The sequence below is a fragment of the Homo sapiens genome, chromosome 8, assembly GCF_000001405.40.
Source record: "Homo sapiens chromosome 8, GRCh38.p14 Primary Assembly".
In the NCBI taxonomy this organism is placed as follows: Eukaryota; Metazoa; Chordata; class Mammalia; order Primates; family Hominidae; genus Homo; species Homo sapiens.
The window spans coordinates 423,308-443,263 of NC_000008.11; the positions used below are offsets into that span (position 1 = coordinate 423,308).

Consider the following 19,956-nt stretch of genomic DNA (forward strand, 5'->3'; position numbering starts at 1 on the left):
CCTTTTATTTTAGATACAGGGGGTCCATGTACAGATTTGTTACATGAAAATATTGCATGAGGCTGGGGTTTGGAGTACAGATCCTGTCACCTCGTTAGCATAGTACCCAATAGGTAGTTTTTTTTAACCCACCCCCACTCCCTCTACCTTCTAGTAGTCCCCAGTGTCTGTTGTTCCCATGTTTGTGTCCATGTGTGCTCAGTGTTTAGCTCCCATTTATAAGTGAGAACATGTGGTATTTGGTTTTCTGTTCCTGCATTAATTTGCTTAGAATTAAGTCAAGCTCCATCCATGTTGCTGCAAAGGGTGTGATTTTATTCCTTTTTTATGGCTGTGTAGTATTTCATGATGTATAGGTACCACATTTTCTTTATCCAGTCTACCATTGATGGGCACCTGGGTTGATTCTGTGTCTTTACTATTGTTAATAGTGCAGCGATGAACATAGGAGTGCCTGTGTCTTTTTGGTAGAATGATTTATTTTCTTTTGGATATATACCCAGTAATGGGGTTGCTGGATAGAATGGTAGTTCTATTTTAAGTTCTTTGAGAAATCTCTAGACCACTTCCCACAATGGCTGGACTGATTTACATTCCCGTCAACAGTGTATAAGCATTCTGTTTTCTCCTCAGCCTTGCCAGCATCTGTTGTCTTTGACTTTTTAGTAATGGCCATTCTGACTAGTGTCAGATGGTATCTCATTGTGGTTTTGATGCATTTCTCTAATGCTATGTGGTACTGAGCCGTTTTCATGTTTGTTGGCCACTTGTATATCTTGTTTGAGAAGTGCCTGTTCATGTCCTTTGCCCATTTTTTTTTTTTTTTTTTGAGACAGAGTCTCACTCTGACACCCAGGCTGGAGTGCAGTGGCGCAATTTCCGCTCACTCCTTTGCCCATTTTTTAATGGGGTTGTTTGTTTTTTTGCATAAGTTCCCTGTAGATTCTGGATATTAGGCCTTTGTCAGACGCATAGTTTGCAAATAGTTTCTCTCATTCCGTAGGTTGTCTATATTCTCTGTCAATAGTTTCTCTTGCTGTGCAGAAGCTCTTTCATTTAATTAAATTCTACTTGCCAATTTTTGTTTTTGTTGCATTTGTTTTTGGGAACTTAGCCAAAAATTCTTTGCCAAGGCCAACGTCAAGAAGAGTATTTCCTAGGTTATCTTCCAGGATCTTACAGTTTGAGGTCTTACTTTGAAATCTTTAATATATTTTGAGTTAATTTTTGTATATGCTGAAAGGTAGGGGTCTGGCTTCAGTCTTCTGTATGTGGCTAGCCAGTTATTCCAACACCATATATTGAATAGGATGGTCTTTTTCCACTGCTGTTTTTGCTGGCCTTGTCAAAGATTGAATGGTTGTAGGTGTGTGGCTTTATTTCTGAGTTTTCTGTTCTGTTCATTGGTCTGTGAGTCTGTTTTTGTACCAGTACAGAAGCTGTTTTGGTTACTGGGGCTTTATAGTATAGTTTGAAGTTGAGTAGTGTGATGCCTCTGGCTTTGTTCTTTTTGCTTAGGAGTGCTTTGGCTATTTGGGCTCTTTTTTCATTCCATATGAATTTTAGGATAGTTTCTTGTTGTTCTTAAATGCATTTTATAATTAACTTGTTTAGCTCTAAGAAAAAAACTTGATTTTGTATTGGAATAGCATTAAATTTAATATTTTTTAAAAATGTTTCATCTACTAACTTACTGCAAAGAGTTTTATAAAGTTGCCTGTAATGATTTTTTAATGTTTTTCTTCATTTTTATAAAGGAAACATCCTTGTGACCACACCCGGGTCAAGGAATAGAACTTTATCAATCATCCCAGAAGCGCCCCCCGCCCCCCACATGTCCCATTTCTATTATAACCTACTTCATCTCCCCAAAAATAACCACTTCCCAAACTCTTATGGTAACCATTTCCCTAATCTTTATAGTTTTATCACCAAGTGTATATTCCTAGACACTATAGTTTAGTGTTGTTTTATTCTTAAAATTTGATATGTTTTTAAAGTCTCTTTTAATCTACACATTTTTCTCTCTATCCCTTTCTTTTCCTTATCTTTTACAATGTTTAAATTTTCTTCTGTTAGCACTTGTAACTTTCTTATTTTTTTTTTTCTAATCAGATACCTAGTGGTTTGTTTTGGTTGATTATTTTATCTTGAGAGCCAGCTTTTGGATTTACTTCTTAGTTCTATTCTTTTTCTACTTAATAATATCTGCTTTTATTTGTAATAATTCCCCTCTTTCTTTTGGTTCACTTATTCTTTTTCTGGCTTTTTCAGTTATATGTTTAAATAATTTATTTTTATTATTTAAATTTGTATTGATATAGGTATTTAATGCTATAAAGTTGCCTGTGACAGTTACTTTTTTTCTGAGTCCTATAAATTCTCTATATATTTTCCCAGCCTTTTATAGCTGTATATCTTATATGCAGTATGGTGTTTGATTTTGCTTTGTGAGCCAATCCAAGACTGTTTTCCATTTAATAGGTGAGCCAAGTCCATTTTTTACATCACAGATAACAGGGAACCACCTTGTTCTATTTTATTTGCTTTTATCCTTTTGGTATTTAGGAGGGCTTTCTTCCTCCTTTTTTTTTTTTTTTTCCACTTTTATCCTAATGCCTTTATAGCAAACACTTAGTTTCTTTGGTTGGCTCCCCACAGTACCTGATACTGCAGTTAGCTGATGGACACCCCAGTCCCAGTTGGCCCCTGCACATCTTCTGCCCGCCTCTACCAGAACACTGGTGGTTGTTCTTTGTCTGCATTGTGCACGCTGTTAACCATGGCATGCTGCACTTTTATCACTGTCATGTGCCAGCAGCTCCACAGATAAATAAAGACCACCCTGCAGCTCACCTTTGCATCTGCCTCTAGTCATTTTGGTTTCCGGAGCTTATTCTTTAGTGGGTCATCCCTCAGCTCCTGGTCACTGTACTTCCTGTGTTTGTGTATACTCATAAAAAATATGTGTGACTTTTACCCTTGATAGTCACTATTTAGATGTTAAATCTGTGGCTTATATTTTTTCCCTTGAATATCTTAAATATGTTACTGAACCTATTCTATTCTGGACCTGTAATCCCTACTACAAAGCCACTCACGAGTCCAGTTTTCATCATTTCTGATTTTACAGACATGCATTCTTAAGGGGGAGGAATTTATAGAACTGAAAGCCATGTTAATATCCTAGTCATGAGGTGGCTGAGATTTAGTCTGTCCAGGTAAGATGGTGCAGGTAGGGAGTGTGGTGGTCCAAGTGGCACACGCAGGAAGTCACAGAATGTGGGAGGCATTGTTTTGTGTACCCTGTGCACAGAGTGTCTGATGCCCTTTGATAGGTTTGCGGCCTCATCTGGTGGACTTTCTGGCACAGCCCTTCCTCGAGGTTGCTGCATCTGAAGCTCTTTAAGACGGCGTTTCCCTTCTGCCAGATTGCACTCTGTGCACAGTGCAGTTGCTTCTCCCTGCGGAGTGAGATGGGCCCACATTGGCTGTGGCTCCACCTGGCCTTGGTGCTCTTGTCGCCCTCTGCTCTGCTGCTCCCTTCATGTAAGAAGGGTGTGTTAAGAGTCCGTAAGTGTGTCGTGTTAGATATTTAGGAAGGAAATGTTAATGCTAAAAATAGGTTTCACATCTTTTTTTTAACTTATATAAAATTGACTGGACTTTCTCTTCTGAATTTTCTTTTTATAATTAGAGACTAATAATACACTGATACGAAGTAGCTTTATATCAGGAAAATGGATAAACGTAAACATTTGCCTACCAGGAGAAAATAATACGACCTGATTGGAAAATGTACAGATAAAAAGCTAAGTTTAGTAGGTAGCCATTGATGAACACAGTGTGACTTAAGACAACAACTGGGGATTGTTAGAGCAGAGATTGTAGCTCCCTTCCGGGGAGGAGCTGACCAAAATGTCCTCCAGCTCCTGCTTGACAGAAGAGGTGCAGCCAAATTGATCGAAAGGAAATGTCAGAGGAGGCCAGGGTGGGAATTATCAGCAACTGTGTTTGAGGATTTGTTCCACTTTGTTTTGGTGTTGGTGAAATTATCACAGTCTGCATGTTATATGACCTTGGCACTTAGAGTCATGGCAACTTGTTGCATTTATGCGAGATTTTTTCTCCCTAAAGTCTCTTCTGTTTGGTAGCATATATGTACCTTTCATAATCAATATCAAACTGAAGTAACTTGAAAAGATAGATACTTTTATTCATTTTCTGGGATTCCATAACCACAAACTCAGTGGCTTAAAACCACAGAAATGTATGTCCTCACAATTCTGGAGGCCAGAAATCCAAAATCAAGGGCTTGGCAGGGTTGCTTCCTACTGGCCACTCAGGGAAGTTGAGTTTATGAGTATGTATTATTTTTTATTATGTGTAGTATAGTACTTTAATAATTATTAAAACAAATCATTCACAAATATTGGTCATTTTTCTTACTGGTAACAAAAGTTTTGTGACATATTTTACAGCAATATAGTTAAGAACTGATGCCCTTGATTAGCAATTTTAAAAACCGGAGGCTTACCGTAGCCTGTCTTATTTTCCTAGACTTGTGTGGAAATGATTTGAAGATGATGGCCCATAACAGCACATTTCTGTAAAGCCTGTGCTTAAAACCCTAGAGTGGTCTGGGAGATGAAGATTAAGTCCTTGTTATCCATCTCTTAAGGGAAATACCATCAGAGGAAAATGCAAATCTTATTATAGGTCATCACTAAAATGAGGATTGTAATTTATAGAAATTGGGGTTTAATTATGAGAAATAGTTCCGTTCTTGGCTCTTGTTTACTTCTACTTGGAGTTGTTTTGTTGATTCTTCTCTATTCTCTTCTCTTCCTTTTCTTGAATGGAAAGGAACTTGGAAAAGTGATTCCCTGTCCTTGGGATTGTCAGAGGAAACTTGGAATGTCATTGCCTTTTGGGCACATTTGCTAGCAAGGGGGTGACGTATGCTGTGGTGCAGCCTGGGTGTGGAGAGTTAAGGGCTGTTAGCTCCATCATTCAGACATGTTTTAAGTTTATGGAAACTCTGTGTTTCATACAAGTGTGTTTGTGCCCTGTATTTTCCGCTTGTGTTGTATAACGTTCTATTCTTTGTTTTTAACACTTCCCGCCCCCACCCCATCCCTCGGACATGCACCTCAGACAGCATGAACAAGACAAGCTGCTACTTCCTCTCCTCTCTTGCACACTGTCTCTTTATCTTTAATTAAAACAAAATACACATAACATAAAATTGCCATCCTAACCATTTTTAAATGTACAGTTCAGTGGTGTTAAGTACATTCACACTATTGTGCAACCATTACCACCATCCATCTCTAGAACTTTTACATCTTCCCAAACTGAAACTCTGTCCCCATTAAACGCTAACTTTTCATTCTCCAGCACCCCCAGACCTGGTAACTGGCTTTCTATTTTCTGTTTGTATGATTTGACTTTTCTGAGTACCTCATATAAGTCAAATCAGACAGTATGTGTCCTTTTGTGACTGTCTTATCTCAGCGTAACGTCCTCAAGTTTCAGCCCTGTTGTAGCATGTGTCAGCATTTCCTTTTTCAGACTGAATAATATTCCATATTGTGTATAGTGTACACCACATTTTGCTTATCTATTCATCCACTGATGGACATGTGGGTTGCTTCCATGTTTATCTGTTGCAAGTAATACTGCTATGAACGTGGGCATACAAGTATCTCTTTCATTCTCTGCTTTCAGTTCTTTTGAATATATACCCAGAAGTGGAATTGTTGGATCATATGGTAATTCTATGTTTAATTTTTTGAAGAACCTCCATACTGTTTCCTATAGTAGCTATACCATCCTCCATTCCCACCAACATTGCACGAGGGATCCAGTTTCCCCACATGCATGTCAACACTTGTTAGTTTCTTTTTTTTTAATTTGCCAGTAGCCTCATAATGAGCGTGAGGTAGTATCTCATCGTAGTGTTAATTTGCATTTACCTAACAATTGGTGATATGGAGCATCTTTTCATGGGCTTCTTGGCTGCTGTGTCTCTTCTTTGGAGAAGTGTCTGTTGAAGTTGTTTGACATTTTTTAATCAAGTTGTTGGGCAGGTTCCCTTGTTTTTAAGTCAGAGTAGGTGATGTTTGTCTTGCTGGTGAAACAAAGGTTATAAAAAGAGAACATGTTTGCTGTGACGTGTAGTTGATTGCTATGAAATGTAGTTGATACATGCAGAATGGAAAGATTTATAAATTAAATACTCCTTTATTAACATTTTAATGTGTCGAATTTAAATTTCAGAAGCATTCATCTTTCTTCTCTACTTGTACATTTTTGTTTACCTGACAGTGTAAAACCCACAACCAAAAAGTAATGGCTTTTTCCCCGTTTAAAATACTTTGTAAAAATAGTAGCCTAGTTGTCATTTGTGAGCCCAGGCTTGGTCCTCAAGTCTGACATAGACTCCCCAAGGCCCTAATGCTGAAGTTCTCTGAGCCCTACCACTGCCCAGGCAGGCCCAGGAAGTGTCCCAGCAGTGCCCAAGAAGGTCACCTCCACCTGTGGAATCCACAGTGTGGGTAGCCCCCAGGGAGCCACAGCCATCTAGGCCCAGATTCACAGGAGGATGCGGTTACTGCAAGCATCTGAACCTGGCCCCACCACCTATGGGCAGAGTTGGTTCCAGCTCAGTGTGTCCATGGGATATCTTTAGGTTCACCTTGCTTTTCTGTCCCATGCTCACATGTTGGAGCTAAGCTGCATGGAGTGTCCTTCTCCCTGTACGTATGAGATTAGTCAGCAGTCCTGTCTCCTTCCATATTCTGTCTTTATTTCTGCGACAGTATTTCTGGAGAACATTGTATTTGTGCTTTTCCTTTGATATGTTTGTAATTTTCGTTAGAAAAACCGTTATAGATTCTAAAGCTTCTACATTCAGTATTTCAATCAATGATAACAAACTGGTGTAAGACTAAATACAAAATACAAACATCAACACATTTCCATAAATTGCTGTTATAATGTCTGCCACAAAAAGTTCAGTTGTTTGTATGTTTTTCAAATGTGCTTTGCTTGTCTTGATGATTTACAACTGTTGGCACCGCTGTTTAAGTCTGTTCTGACAGTGAGAAAGTGACTCATTTGGCAAAGTCAGCTTTTTTTTTTTAATAAAAGTGAATACTGGTGAGTGGAAAGGGGCTTGTGTACAATTTTCTTGTCAAAGAACGATGACCGGCAAATAAGCAATTTTAGTTCCTTGGATTTGAGCACCACTCTCACATGCCTCCACCAACCAGCTTGTCTCCACAGAGCTTCCTTCCTCACTTTACACTGAAAATCTGTTATCAGTGTGTGGAAAATAAAAATTTTACACAGCGTTAGTTTTGAGGATGTGGATTACTATTTACAGGTGTTTTTTTAAAAAGTAAAAGGTGTTCCCATTGTTTAGTTATTGCCTTATGATTTGATTTTCTTGTTTCACGAAGAAGAAAAGCTTTTAATTAAATGTATTTAAATAGTAAAAATATACATGTCACTTCACCTGGTTCCAGTTAAATGTGTTAACAGTGTATTTGGTTGGTGCTTAATAAAAACATGTTCAGTGCAGTAATAATTAACTTCAGGTAAACCCTTATATAGGGAGTAAACAGAAATGTTGAGTGGTTACTCAGCATGGGGAAGGTATACAGCAAGTCATTGGTCAGTATTGGGTATCATCATATTCTTACCATCTTTTTTCTGGAGTTTTAATAGTTGTTTTTTAAAAAAATCTCTGTTTTAATAAGGCATTTTGATGTTTGAAACTACCTTGGATAAGTATATCAAGACCCTTCAGAGATTCTAAAACATGTTCAGCACTTTCTGGTACAATATTCTCAAAGAACCAGGATACATCTTATTTCTCAAAATGAAACAAAAATGTATTAGACATTACCCTTGTGATTTCAAGCCCACAGTCTGTCACTTTGAAGTATTTATATCCTTTTACAAAAGAAAAGCCAAATGAAGATCTCCCTGAAAAAATATTTTAATAGAATGTGTCTTTATTTCAGTATCTTAAATAGTGAAGATGGAGAAATATTCAATAATGAAGAGCATGAATATGCATCGAAAAAAAGGAAAAAGGACCATTTTAGAAATGACACAAATACTCAAAGTAAGATCATTCTCATTAATTTTATTTTACTTGTTGATTACGTTGAAATACTAAATTACTCTGACAATGCTATCTTATGAAATAAAAGGTGATACAAATATGTAAATAACAGCCCAGTATCCAGCATTGCCTACAGATTTAGTGATCAAACTTTTTGCAGCTCAACCGTTTCAGTGGGTAAGATGTGCAAAAACAAAATAAGAGATAGCCAAACCCACAAAACAGCCCATGAATCTGAATGCTTGAATTATGGTCATGAATTCAGCTCAGTCTTGAGCAGTGAGGCCAAACTGAGAGGTGTCCTGACTTGAGTTTTGAAGTCACTGAAGATTCAGAGCAGGAGACAGACATTCAGAGCTGGAGTTTAGGATGTTAGATGGCAGCAGGGGAAGGCTGGAGGTGGGACCTATCTATGTGAGGGCATAGAGCTCTATCATGCAGCATATCTGTGAGTTACCAAGACACATGTTAATGTATAGTAGGCTCCCTTACCTCAGGGGATAGACCTCCAGTGGATGCCTGAAACTGTGGATACTACCAAACCTTATGGATACTATGGTTTTTTTTATGTATATACACACTTATAATAAAGTTTAATTTATAAATTAGGTGCAGTAAGAGATTAACGAGAATAATAAAATGAAACAGTTATAGCAAGATGGCCACCATCACTGCTCTTGCACTTTGGGGCCATTATGAAGTACAGTAAGGGTTCTTTAAATACAAGCACTGTGATATCTCAACAGGTGATCCGATAACCAAGACGGCTACTGAGTGACCAAGGGGCGGGTAGTGTAGGACTCGCTTGACAAAGGGAGGATTTGCATCCCAGGCAGGACAGAGCAGGACGGTGTGAGATTTCATGACACCACCCAGAATGGCACACAATTTAAAACTTATGAATGGTTTATTTCTGGAATTTTCCACTTAATGTTTTCAAACCAAACCTGACTGTGGGTAATTGAAACTGTAGAAGGTGAAACTGTGAATACGGGGGGACTACTTTATGAAGAAGATAGGGTCACATGGAGAATACAGTTAGTGTGATTCTTGAAACTTTTAAGATTTATCTGAAAAATTTGTTTCTATGGAGTACCATACACAGCAACAGAAGAATAGAACTTTTTATTAGGGTACATAGGAATGTAGTAATGTAATTGCATTTTATAATCATTTATGTCTTCATATGGCTTCAGTCATTAATAATACTAATTTTCTTCTAAGTTACTAGGACTTGGTACTGTCTGAAATCATTGTTCATATCTTAAACTGATTTAAGAAACAAAGCAATTCTGTTTGCATTCACCCACGTAAAAGCATTTCTTGTCAATATAGTAAGTCAGATAATTTTGTTAACATGTCCAATTATTTAAATTCCTTTAAAATCTTCATTTTGAAATGATTTGCCAGATTTTAAAAACAAAGGTAATTTTTATTCTAGGTTTTTATCGTGAAAAATGGATCTATGTCCATAAAGAAAGCACAAAGGAAGTAAGTATTCTATTATAAATATGAGAGTATCTTGTATTGTTTCTGTTGAATATGGAGTCACATTAAATAAATGTATTAATAAAGTTGCATAAAACACATTTCTTTTGCAATATCAGATCTATGGTTCACATTCTGACAGATAATAGCATATGAGGAGCTTTTGAGGCAGTGATTTTCCATTGTGTGTGCTTGCATGTGCATGTGGTATGTGGCTGTGTATTTGTGCACACATTTGTGTGTGTTGTGTGTATGGTGTATGTGTGTGGTATATATGGTGTGTATGTATGATTGTGCATGTATTTGTGCAGATACTGGTGTGTGGGATGTATGGTGTGTGGTGGCATGTGGTATATGTGTGCAGTGTGTGGTTCCTGCCTACCTGTACATATCTGAGTCTACAGCAGGGTTATTTAAACCAAGCATGGACTCCTGCAGTCATACGCATTTTCTCTGTGTTAGCATGAACCCCTGATGCTGATGGGAATGTGTCCTCCCTGTGGCGTGTTTTGGAGGGCAGGGCATCTGTGAGCCCTCTCATTCCACATAAAGAGTGGCTAACATGAAATTAGTAATTGGGTTGGGTTTGTGCAGAGCTGTGTGAACTCTTTCCCTGCCTTTCTTTTGCCAAGTTGGGCTAAAGCTTTTTCATGAGCCATAAAACAAACGAGAGAGCTTCAAGCTGTTTCCTGTTTCTTTACTAGGATCCGGGAAGTTGAGTTCCTTTTATAGGCCTAGAAACTCTGCATTTGCTTTATTTTGCAACAATTGGGGAAAATAATTTAGGGAATTACTGTCTATCGTATGTTATTTCAGGGTAAGTTAAATATTCCAGAAATGTTTGTAGATGCTCTGAAACTAGTCCAGCTTCCAAGAAACTGAAGGATTAGATTCTGAGAAAGAAAACTTAATCTGTTTGGTTATGGTTAGTGGGTATAGAATGAATCAGATCCTTAATATACACTCGAATACACCATTAGACGATTATTTGACAGAATCTAACCTAGTTTGTGAAAAACAAAATTTAGTGCTCGTGAAAGACCATTAAATATTTCATCTGCTCTGTTGCCATACTGATTACAGAACAGAGGATCCCATCCAAGCTAGCATATGCAGGAAAGGAGGATCTTCTTGTGAGGCTGTGGGGATGCTCCCTGGAATGCTAGGAACCAGGACCTAACAAGGCTGAGAGGGACCAGAACTAGGACTGGGTGCTGGTGTCCCTGCACCACGTCATGTCTCCATACCCTCACCTGGTACAGAGCAAGTGCCTGCTGCTTGTCCATGCTGGCTGGTGTCTCACCGCTTCCGAGGTTACATGCTGTGGTTCTAGGTCCGCACATGCTCTTTGTGGTCTGCTCTGTGAATCAGATTTAATTTCCTGTTGTAAGATGGGTGGTGACCTTGGAAAGTGCCTGCTGCACCATCGTGTGGAATATCAGCTGTGATGGATTTCAGATTATAATCTATATCAAAATGAGTGTTTCCTTTCCCCAGAGTTCCCAGGAAAATGTTTTCCACATAGCAGGCAGTCAGTCAACATATTTGGATGTTTTAAATGAGTATATTTTGTTGAGTTGTGCACCCGTCAGGGCGATTGGGGTTGGCGCACAGAAGCACATGAGCCTCTGAGTGTATCGGCTGTCAGAGACAAAGGTGCTATGACTCCAGCTGCTTTCTCTAGGACATCTCAAGTCACCTGTTTGGAATTTGAGACCAATCATCTCATGTTTTCTATTATTTTTTTCTAGCTTATCTCTACAACTTTGACATGAAAATCTGTAGATTTTAAATATTTCAAATATGGAGGATGAAGATGGAGTTTAAAATGACTTCTGAAACCTAGTGTGCTAATCTATACAAACCAATATAGGATAAGGGTATATCATGGAAGAAAAACATCTAAGAGAATAGCAGCAGTGTTTACAGTACTGAAAATAAATTGTTTCATTTTCTTCCTTCAGTTCTTGGACCTGTGGGTCTAAACACCAGTTTTTTTTGGTGTTTTGGGTTCTTGGCATCCGTGCTCCCAGCCTGAAAGCTGCCCGTGGTCACATCCAGCACTTGCCTTCAGCCCTCTCCATCCCAATGCTGGTTTTCAGAAGCACCTTCTTGCTACCGAAGCACCTCTCCCAGCCCTGATCCTTGTGGTTGAGCATACTTCCAGCCTGGGCAGTGCATGGCTGCTCTGGAGAGAAATCCCATGTTATACTTCAAACTCGGGCAGTGCATGCCTCCCCTGCAGAGAAATCCTGTGTTTCAACTAGATATTTGTAACACCTACATCCTTACAATGCAGTTAATCAGGTGATTTATGTATTTTTAGTTGCGTAGCCTAGAATGAATCCAGTTTTTTTATGATCTTAGCTTTAACGTCGTCCACACCCCAGTTTGTCCCCAACAAAACAAACCGGCAAGATATTTAATAAATATTTGTCTTTGTCATTACTTCAGCAGGTTGTAAAAAATGTCAGTTAACGGTGTCTCAGGTATACATAAACAGCTTAAATTATTAGCATTGCTATAATTTTACTATACTCTCATCTAAATCTAAAATCAGTCTTCAAAATAAAAACAAATTGTCCTTTGCCAAAAATTTTTTTAATCGCACAATTAATTGACATTAACTGCCAATTCTTTTTGGCTAATTGACTAATTTTAACTTCTGTGTTGCTTTTCCAGAGGCATGGCTATTGCACCTTGGGAGAAGCCTTTAATCGGTTAGACTTCTCAAGTGCAATTCAAGATATCCGAAGGTTCAATTATGTGGTCAAAGTAAGTGTTCTATTTCAAAAACTACTTTGATGACTCTTTTGAACAACTATATTTTGAAGATTGTAAGTGTACAACGTTGAAGATGCTTTTGGCAGCTTGAAGGTGTGCCTGTTTGCTGCGTATTAATCAAAAAACAGAAGGGAACAAGTTCAGGAGAAAACAGTGAGGTTGGAGGATTTCTCCAGTATTGGTGGCAGAGGTTGCAGAGCCTCAGTGGGAGCAAACACTCATCTGCCCTGTGGCTCTGTGGTTGCTGAGGATGCCACAAGGTGGTCCCTTGGGGGTTGTACCACGTACCTACATACTGTGTCAGTGATAGAACGGTCGTGGGATCTTTACCTGATGATTTCACAAATGTTTTCTGCTTCGTGTTTTTCACAAGGAATGAGGCTTGTGTCGCAGAGGAAGAAGTAGCTAATAGAAAACAGGAATTTCATACAAAATAGAATTCCACAAAAGCCTTATTGCATTAATGATACCCTTTTGGAAGAAATTTTTATCTTGGGCCACACTCAAAAAGAAAGGATCTTAGCCATATATTCCATTTATTGTTTGCTTTTGTCCAAAGATTAATTACTATGTGGTTTATGCACCTTCATTCTATTATGGATAAAATAGAAGCTATAGTTTATGAAGCTATTAATTTTGTGTTTCTAATGGTTCTGTGAGACATTGGAAAAATGTTGCTTTTAATTGCTTTTAGGCATTTAAAAGTGCTACTGGGAGGACCAAAAATTTAGGGAGTTAAATAATTGTAAGCCTTAGATAATATTATTTGTTCAGTTTGCTTCTGAGCAGAATTTCCAGGGCTGCTTATGTAACTACTACTTACAACTCCTGTTGTGCTGCATGCTTCACTGAAGCCCAGCCACCACATGCAGGCTGGACTTCCCTGGTGTTTTCTGAGTCCTCCTTTAGATATTTACACACTGGCCAGCAGGGTGTCCTCGATAGGTACCTTTCTTATAGATGATGAAATGCAGATTTGACTCAGCCTTGTGGAAATTTTCAGTACTTAAGTAGCCGGGAAAAACATCAGCAGAGAGGTCTGTTTAGCAGTAACTGTTTCTCCATGTAGCTCTCTGATAGTTCAGACCATACTGAGTTGCTTTATAGTAGCAATTCTTGACCATCTGTCTACATAAAAGGATTTAATTCTTGGTGTGAGTGAGAGAGTAGGATGGAGCACAGGAGGAAGTCGTTGGCTCCTGGTGGTTTCTGTGCTGGGTGCCCTGCTGTCTCATCTTTGGTCACTGACTCTGGAGAAGGTGCGAGTATTCTGTGCTTTGTCAGAGGGGGCATCCATAGACCAGGACCAGCATTTTATCAGTTTCAGTCATTTGGACGACTGCATAATTTTTTTTTTGTCTGTGTACCACATACTACTATAATTTGCTGGGTAGCTTTTCTTCAAATTTACTTTTCTAAACAGAAATACCTACTTTAGCCTCATCCTAAACACTAATACCTGTGAAATGGTAAATTTTCTGTCGGTCATTTGTCTAATACATATAAATGCATAACTATAAAAATTAAAATGTGCTGTGCACTCATGTACCAACTAAGCTTACTTTGCAACCCTCTTGAGAAGGGCTGTGTTTCTCCAAAGCACCTCTCAGATGTGGAGCGAGGGAACTGGTGAGCTCAGGAAGCAAAAGGGCTGCAGTGTTGCATGGCTGTCCCAGCACCCTCACAGGTCTGTGCATCTCTGTTGATTGCTGCCTTCCAAGCAGGGCCTTGCTTGGCTCATCTGTGCTCCTGCTCTGTGGGAATCCCACCTTCCCTCTCCTGAAGTCGCTCTGGACCTTGCACACCATTCTTCACAAGTCCAGCAAAGTTACCTCTAAAAAGTGATTTGCTCATGCTTACCTTCTGCTAAAAACAAAAACAAGAAGCAGCCTTTGTGACTGTGGTAAAGCCTGAGCCTGTGTCTTGCCTTGGATTGGGCTCCTCCATGTCCCCATCCCAATTCTTAACCTCCCTGGCCCATGCCCAGTGCCCTCTTCTGTTGGCTTTCTTTCAGTGTGTGCTATTTTTTTTTTTTTTTTACTTTATCGTATGCATTTATCATACATACTGTGCAGGTATTTGGTATTTTTTTGCTGTTTTAAATGTTTATGGCAACACTTACTACAACAACTGAGAGGATTGTCTTGTAGTTCTACTAAATAATTTGATTTTCCATAATTTAGTCTAAGTTGTCCATAATGTCACTCAGTATTATTAGAATACCTATAAATAAGAAATGTAGAAGCATTTTTTTAAAATGCTTGATAAAAGGTTTCCTTTTTTTCTAATGGCATTTAGTAATATCTGCCCTTAAGAATTTGTGTGAAAAACTTAATGTGTATCTTTTTTTTTTTTTTAGATGGAGTCTCACTCTGTTGCCCAGGGTGGAGTGCAGTGGCACGATCTCTGCTCACTGCAACCTCTGATTCCTGGGTTCCAGTGATTCTCCTGCCTCAGCCTCCTGAGTAGCTGGGATTACAGGCATGCACCACGATGCCTGGCTAATTCTTTTTTGTATTTTTAGTAGAGATGGGGTTTCGCCATTTTGGCCAGGCTCGTCTTGAACTCCTGACCTCAAGTGATCCACCTGCCTCGGCCTCCCAAAGTGCTAGGATTACAGGTGTGAGCCACCATGCCCAGCCTGTATCTTTCAACTAATGTTTTATGTAAAATCATTTTTTCCATCTAAACAGCAATTTTAAACTGAGACTAATCAATAATTACTACACAGTCTTAGGATAAAAGTTAGTAGTAGAATTTAGTGTTCAATTACAGATTCTTCCAGTTGCCAAAATAAAGTTAAGTAGTTTGGAATGGAAGTTTCGTTTTTACTCTAATCTTTGAAGTTGAGTTTGAGCCAGATGTCCTGTTGGAGGCATAAAATGGCCCCACCTTTTGTTCACTGTCCAGGGGCAGATGCTCTTCACTCAAGGCAGGAGGAGCCCATCAGTGCTGGCATCGCTGAGCACCTCCTGTGTGCAGATCAACGTACCTTGGCTTTTCTAACTTTCAAGAAACTTTGAAATCCAGTTCTAGTCACACTCCCACCATGAAATCTTCTTTGCCAGTGATCACAGGGTTGTGGCAATACCAACTCAAGCCTACCTGGCTGGGACCTTGGCCTCACCGCCCCCATCATGTCAGCAGCATTCCCTGGCCCTTAGGTGTGCCAGTGGCCACGTGTTTAAGTTGTCTGCGTCCCCATCCCAGTTGAGCCCCAGGAGCAGGGGCTTGGTTTGTTCACTGCTGTTCACCCACTGCTGAAAACAACACCCCCTTTGTCAAAGTGGAGTAAGTGTGTCCCAACTGCAGTGAGGAGCTGCACTTCCATGAACTCAGAGGTGCCCAGCAAACCCAGGACAGCTGTAAACACAGAGAGGGAGACCAGTACCCAAAAGCTGTCTGGAGGAAGTAGAACTGGGTCCTGATCCTATAGGTTAATGTGACTGTGGTTTTTACACATTTGTTATCATTCCCTTGGAGTCCTGGGCTTGCTTATAGCACTGAGAAGAACAGCCTGCCCCCTCGCCCCTCTGGCAGCCAGGAGGTGGCTTCTGACAGCCAGGCACGAACAGCCCGAGGCTTGGGAGGTCCATGCAGGGCAGTGCACGGCGTGAAAGCTTCCTGAAAGCTGCACGGTGTGCAACTGAAATTTATAAAAATGTTAAATATGCTCTGTTTCCTAAAGTACACACATCTGTAGGAAAAAAGTTTTCAGAATCGTAAAGTTTATATATCTAATTTTGGTTATTTGATAAATTATCTGAAGTACTTCATTCTCTGCCTGTGGTGGACCAATTAGATAGCACATCCAGTGTCACATACTTCCAGGGGTACTGTATTTTTAGTTTAGTTTCTTGCCATCATTTATTTTTATGTTTTCATTTGCTTTAGATGTAGGCGAAGAGTCGGTCTCTCTTATCTTTATTCAAAAGTTTCTGTGTCCCTGGGCATTGCTCTGCCCCTCCAAGACTCCCCAGTCCTGTTTCCTTTAGCCCACCTGCTCCTCATGTCTGGAGATGGACTCCTGCTTCTCAGTATCCCAAGGATCTCTTAAATGTGGAAAGGTGGCCAGGTGCGGTGACTCATGCCTGCAATCCCAGCACTTTGGGAGGCTGAGGCAGGAGGATAACTTGAGCCCAGGAGTTTGAGGCCAGCCTGGGCAACATAGGGAGACCCTGTTTTTACAAATAATAATAAGCAAATAAGGAAAGACATCTCAGGCTAGAATCTCTGGCTATATGAAGATTTTTTTTCAAATTTTTTCATAATTTCTACTAATGACTACTCCATAGTAGCAACTTAATAGCAGCAGCCTCACAGCAGCGCATGGGAAAGATGCTTAGTGAGTGACCCTGAGCCCTCCCAGGCGGGGACTCGAGGGTGAGGCAGGGAGGGAGAGAGGCTCTGCAGCCACACAGCCGTTGTTGGAATTCTGTCTCTTTCTTATTTATTTACTCAGGGATCTCAAGCATATGACTTCATCATCACATCCATAGTATCTGGTAGATTTTAGCATCTACCTCAGAGCACTGTTAGAAAGATTAGATTAGTTCCATCATAGGAAGCTCTTGGAACAGTCTGTACTCTGTGTTAGCCACTATTTTGATTTTCTTTTGAGGAGGATTTAGGCAGAGGGATGACAGCTGCATGGAGATCCATTTATGACCCAAGAGGTAAAGACAAGAAAATGGGGCCCAGAGAGATGGGCTGAAGGTCACAATGGAGTCAAGGACAGAGACCAAAAACGTAGCTGTCCTGACAGCCGTGAAGAGCTTTTTCATTACGACTTTATTTCCTAAGTCTATAAACTTTGATTTTCCTCTGATGTAAATTAAGTGACTTTCTTAAATGCGTCATATGACTTTTTTTTAAATTTTTTAAATTATACTTTAAGTTCTGGTATACATGTGCTCAATGTGCAGGTTTGTTACATAGGTATACACATGCCATGGTGGTTTGCTGCACCCATCAACCCGTCATCTACATTAGGTATTTCTCCTAATGCTATCTGTCCCCTAGCCCCCCACCCCCCGACAGGCCCTGGTGTGTGATGTTCCCCTCCCTGTGCCCATGTGTTCTCATTGTTCAGCTCCCACTTATGAATAAGAACATGTGGTGTTTGGTTTTCTGTTCTCGTGTTAGTTTGCTGAGAATAATGGTTTCCAGTTTCATCCATGTCCTTGCAAAGGACATGAACTCATCCTTTTTTATGACTGCATAGTATTCCATGGTGTATATGTGCCACATTTCCTTTATCCAGTCTATCACTGATGGGCATTTGGGTTGGTTCCAAGTCTTTGCTATTGTGAACAGTGCTGCAATAAACATACGTGTGCGTGTGTCTTTATAGTAGAATGATTTATAATCTTTTCATCATACTACCTGACTTCAGACTATATTACAAGGCTACAGTAACCAAAACAGCATGATACTGGTACCAAAACAGATATATAGACCAATGGAACAGAACAGAGGCCTCAGAAATAACGCCACACGTCTACAACCATCTGATCTTTCACAAACCTGACAAAAACAAGCAATGGCTAAAGGATTCCCTATTTAATAAATGGTGTTGGAAAAACTGGCTAGCCATATGCAAAAAACTGAAACTGGACCGCTTCCTTACACCTTTATACAAAAATTAACTCAAGATGGATTAAAGACTTAAACATAAGACCTAAAACCATAAAAACCCTACAAGAAAAGCTAGGCAGTACCATTCAGGACATAGGCATGGGCAAAGACTTGATGTCTAAAACACCAAAAGCAATGGCAACAAAAGCCAAAATTGACAAATGGGATCTAATTAAACTAAAAAGCTTCTGCATAGCAAAAGAAACTGTTATCACAGCGAAGAGGCAACCTACAGAATGGGAGAAAATTTTTGCAATCTATCCATCTGACAAAGGGCTAACATCCAGAATCTACAAAGAACTTAAACAAATTTACAAGAAAAAAACAACCCCATCAAAAAGTGGGTAAAGGATATGAACAGACACTTCTCAAAACAAGAAATTTATGCAGCCAACAAACATGAAGAAAAGCTCATCTCTGGTCATTAGAGAAATGCAAATCAAAACCACAATGACATACCATCTCACACCAGTTAGGATGGCTATCATTAAAAAGTCAGGAAACAACAGATGCTGGAGAGGACGTGGAGAAATAGGAATGCTTTTACACTGTTGGTGGGAGTATAAGTTCAACCACTGTGGAAGACAGTGTGGTGATTCCTCAAGGATCTAGAACCAGAGATACTATTTGACCCAGCAATCCCACATGACATTATAAAATAATGACCTGGCAAATTAGATGGAACTGTTGAAAAGGGCTGTTTTTAAAATTTCAGATCATATTGCTAATCAGGCTTTTGTTTGCTCTGGTGAGTGTTGTTTTAAGCAACACAATCCAATGCTAATTTACTGTTGTATAATAATTTATTCAGTAGGCCCTGCTATATCCCAAGCACCTGGCAAGTAGTAGGCACTTGTTATTCCTAAAATGAATGAGTGACTGAGCATACAAACCAACTATTGTATACATAAATGTTTTTAAGTTACTCCAATTATTTTTTTTTTTTTACCACAGTTAAACTCCTTCATAAGTTCTACTTGAAGTAGGAACTATTAAGATACTCTAAGATAATTACATTTTTGCTGATAGTTGTACTGCACCTACAGGTTACTTTTTTTTTTCTTCAAGCAAACTGCATAGTTAGAAAGAAGCAGAGGAAGTTATTTCCACTTTAGTTTTTTATTTTGTATTTTTCTGAGACAGAGTCGCTTTGTCGCCCAGGCTGGAGTGCAGTGGCATAATCTTGGCCCACTGCAACTTCCGCCCCCCGGGTTCAAGCGATTCTCCTGCCTCAGCTTCCCGAGTAGCTGGGATTTCAGGCACCTGCCACCACGCCTGGCTAATTTTTGTAATTTTAGTAGAGAGGGGGTTTTGCCGTATGGGTCAGGCTGGTCTTGAACTCCTGACCTCAGGTGATCTGGCTGCCTCGGCCTCCCAAAGTGCTAGGATTTCAGGCGTTAGCCACCCTGCCCAGCCTATTTCCACTTTATAAAAAGATTCTACACAAAGATATCTTCTAATTTCCTAAGCAAGACTTTTCTTATACAGAAAAAGATATATTTACATGTATATTTTTCAGTTTTCCTAATTGTCGATCCAAGAATTGGTTGTAGGCTATTTAATTCCAGGCATTTCCTATAATTACCCCCATAAAAATGCCGGATTAAAGTGTATTAGCAAAGTATGTTAACGCTCCTGAGAACAGATTTGTTAAAGAAGGTCCAAGAAATGACAGTGTTGTCACCACTCAGAAATGGCCATTTCCATTGAAGGAAGTGCTCCTCAGCTCCGCTGAGAGTCTGACCTCAGTTGAATTAAATTTGACCTTGTAACTGATGTTTTTAAGAAAAATTGAACATAGATTGCTGACGACGGTGGATAGGTGGTGTCAGGGCAGTTTGAGCACACTGGGAATATAAGGCTCCTCATTATACGGCATGCCAAAAAAAGTTTGTCCTCCAGGCAAGTAT

The 19,956-nt window shown here is 39.6% G+C and overlaps 1 protein-coding gene across 12 annotated transcripts in view; it reads left to right on the top strand.

The window, feature by feature from the left end:
• FBXO25 (F-box protein 25) overlaps positions 1 to 19,956 on the top strand; it is a 71,010-nt gene that overhangs the window by 16,350 nt on the left and 34,704 nt on the right. For 8 of the 12 annotated variants that reach the window (XM_047421684.1, NM_183421.2, NM_183420.2 and 5 more), the window contains exons 3-5: positions 8,034 to 8,137; positions 9,579 to 9,628; positions 12,308 to 12,400. In XM_047421684.1, coding sequence (XP_047277640.1) covers positions 8,034 to 8,137; positions 9,579 to 9,628; positions 12,308 to 12,400 — 247 coding nt within the window. Of the gene's footprint in view, positions 1 to 8,033; positions 8,138 to 9,578; positions 9,629 to 12,307; positions 12,401 to 19,956 lie in introns of those variants that run through there. The other 4 variants (XM_017013314.2, XM_024447125.2, NM_012173.4 and 1 more) reach the window with 2 other exon arrangements.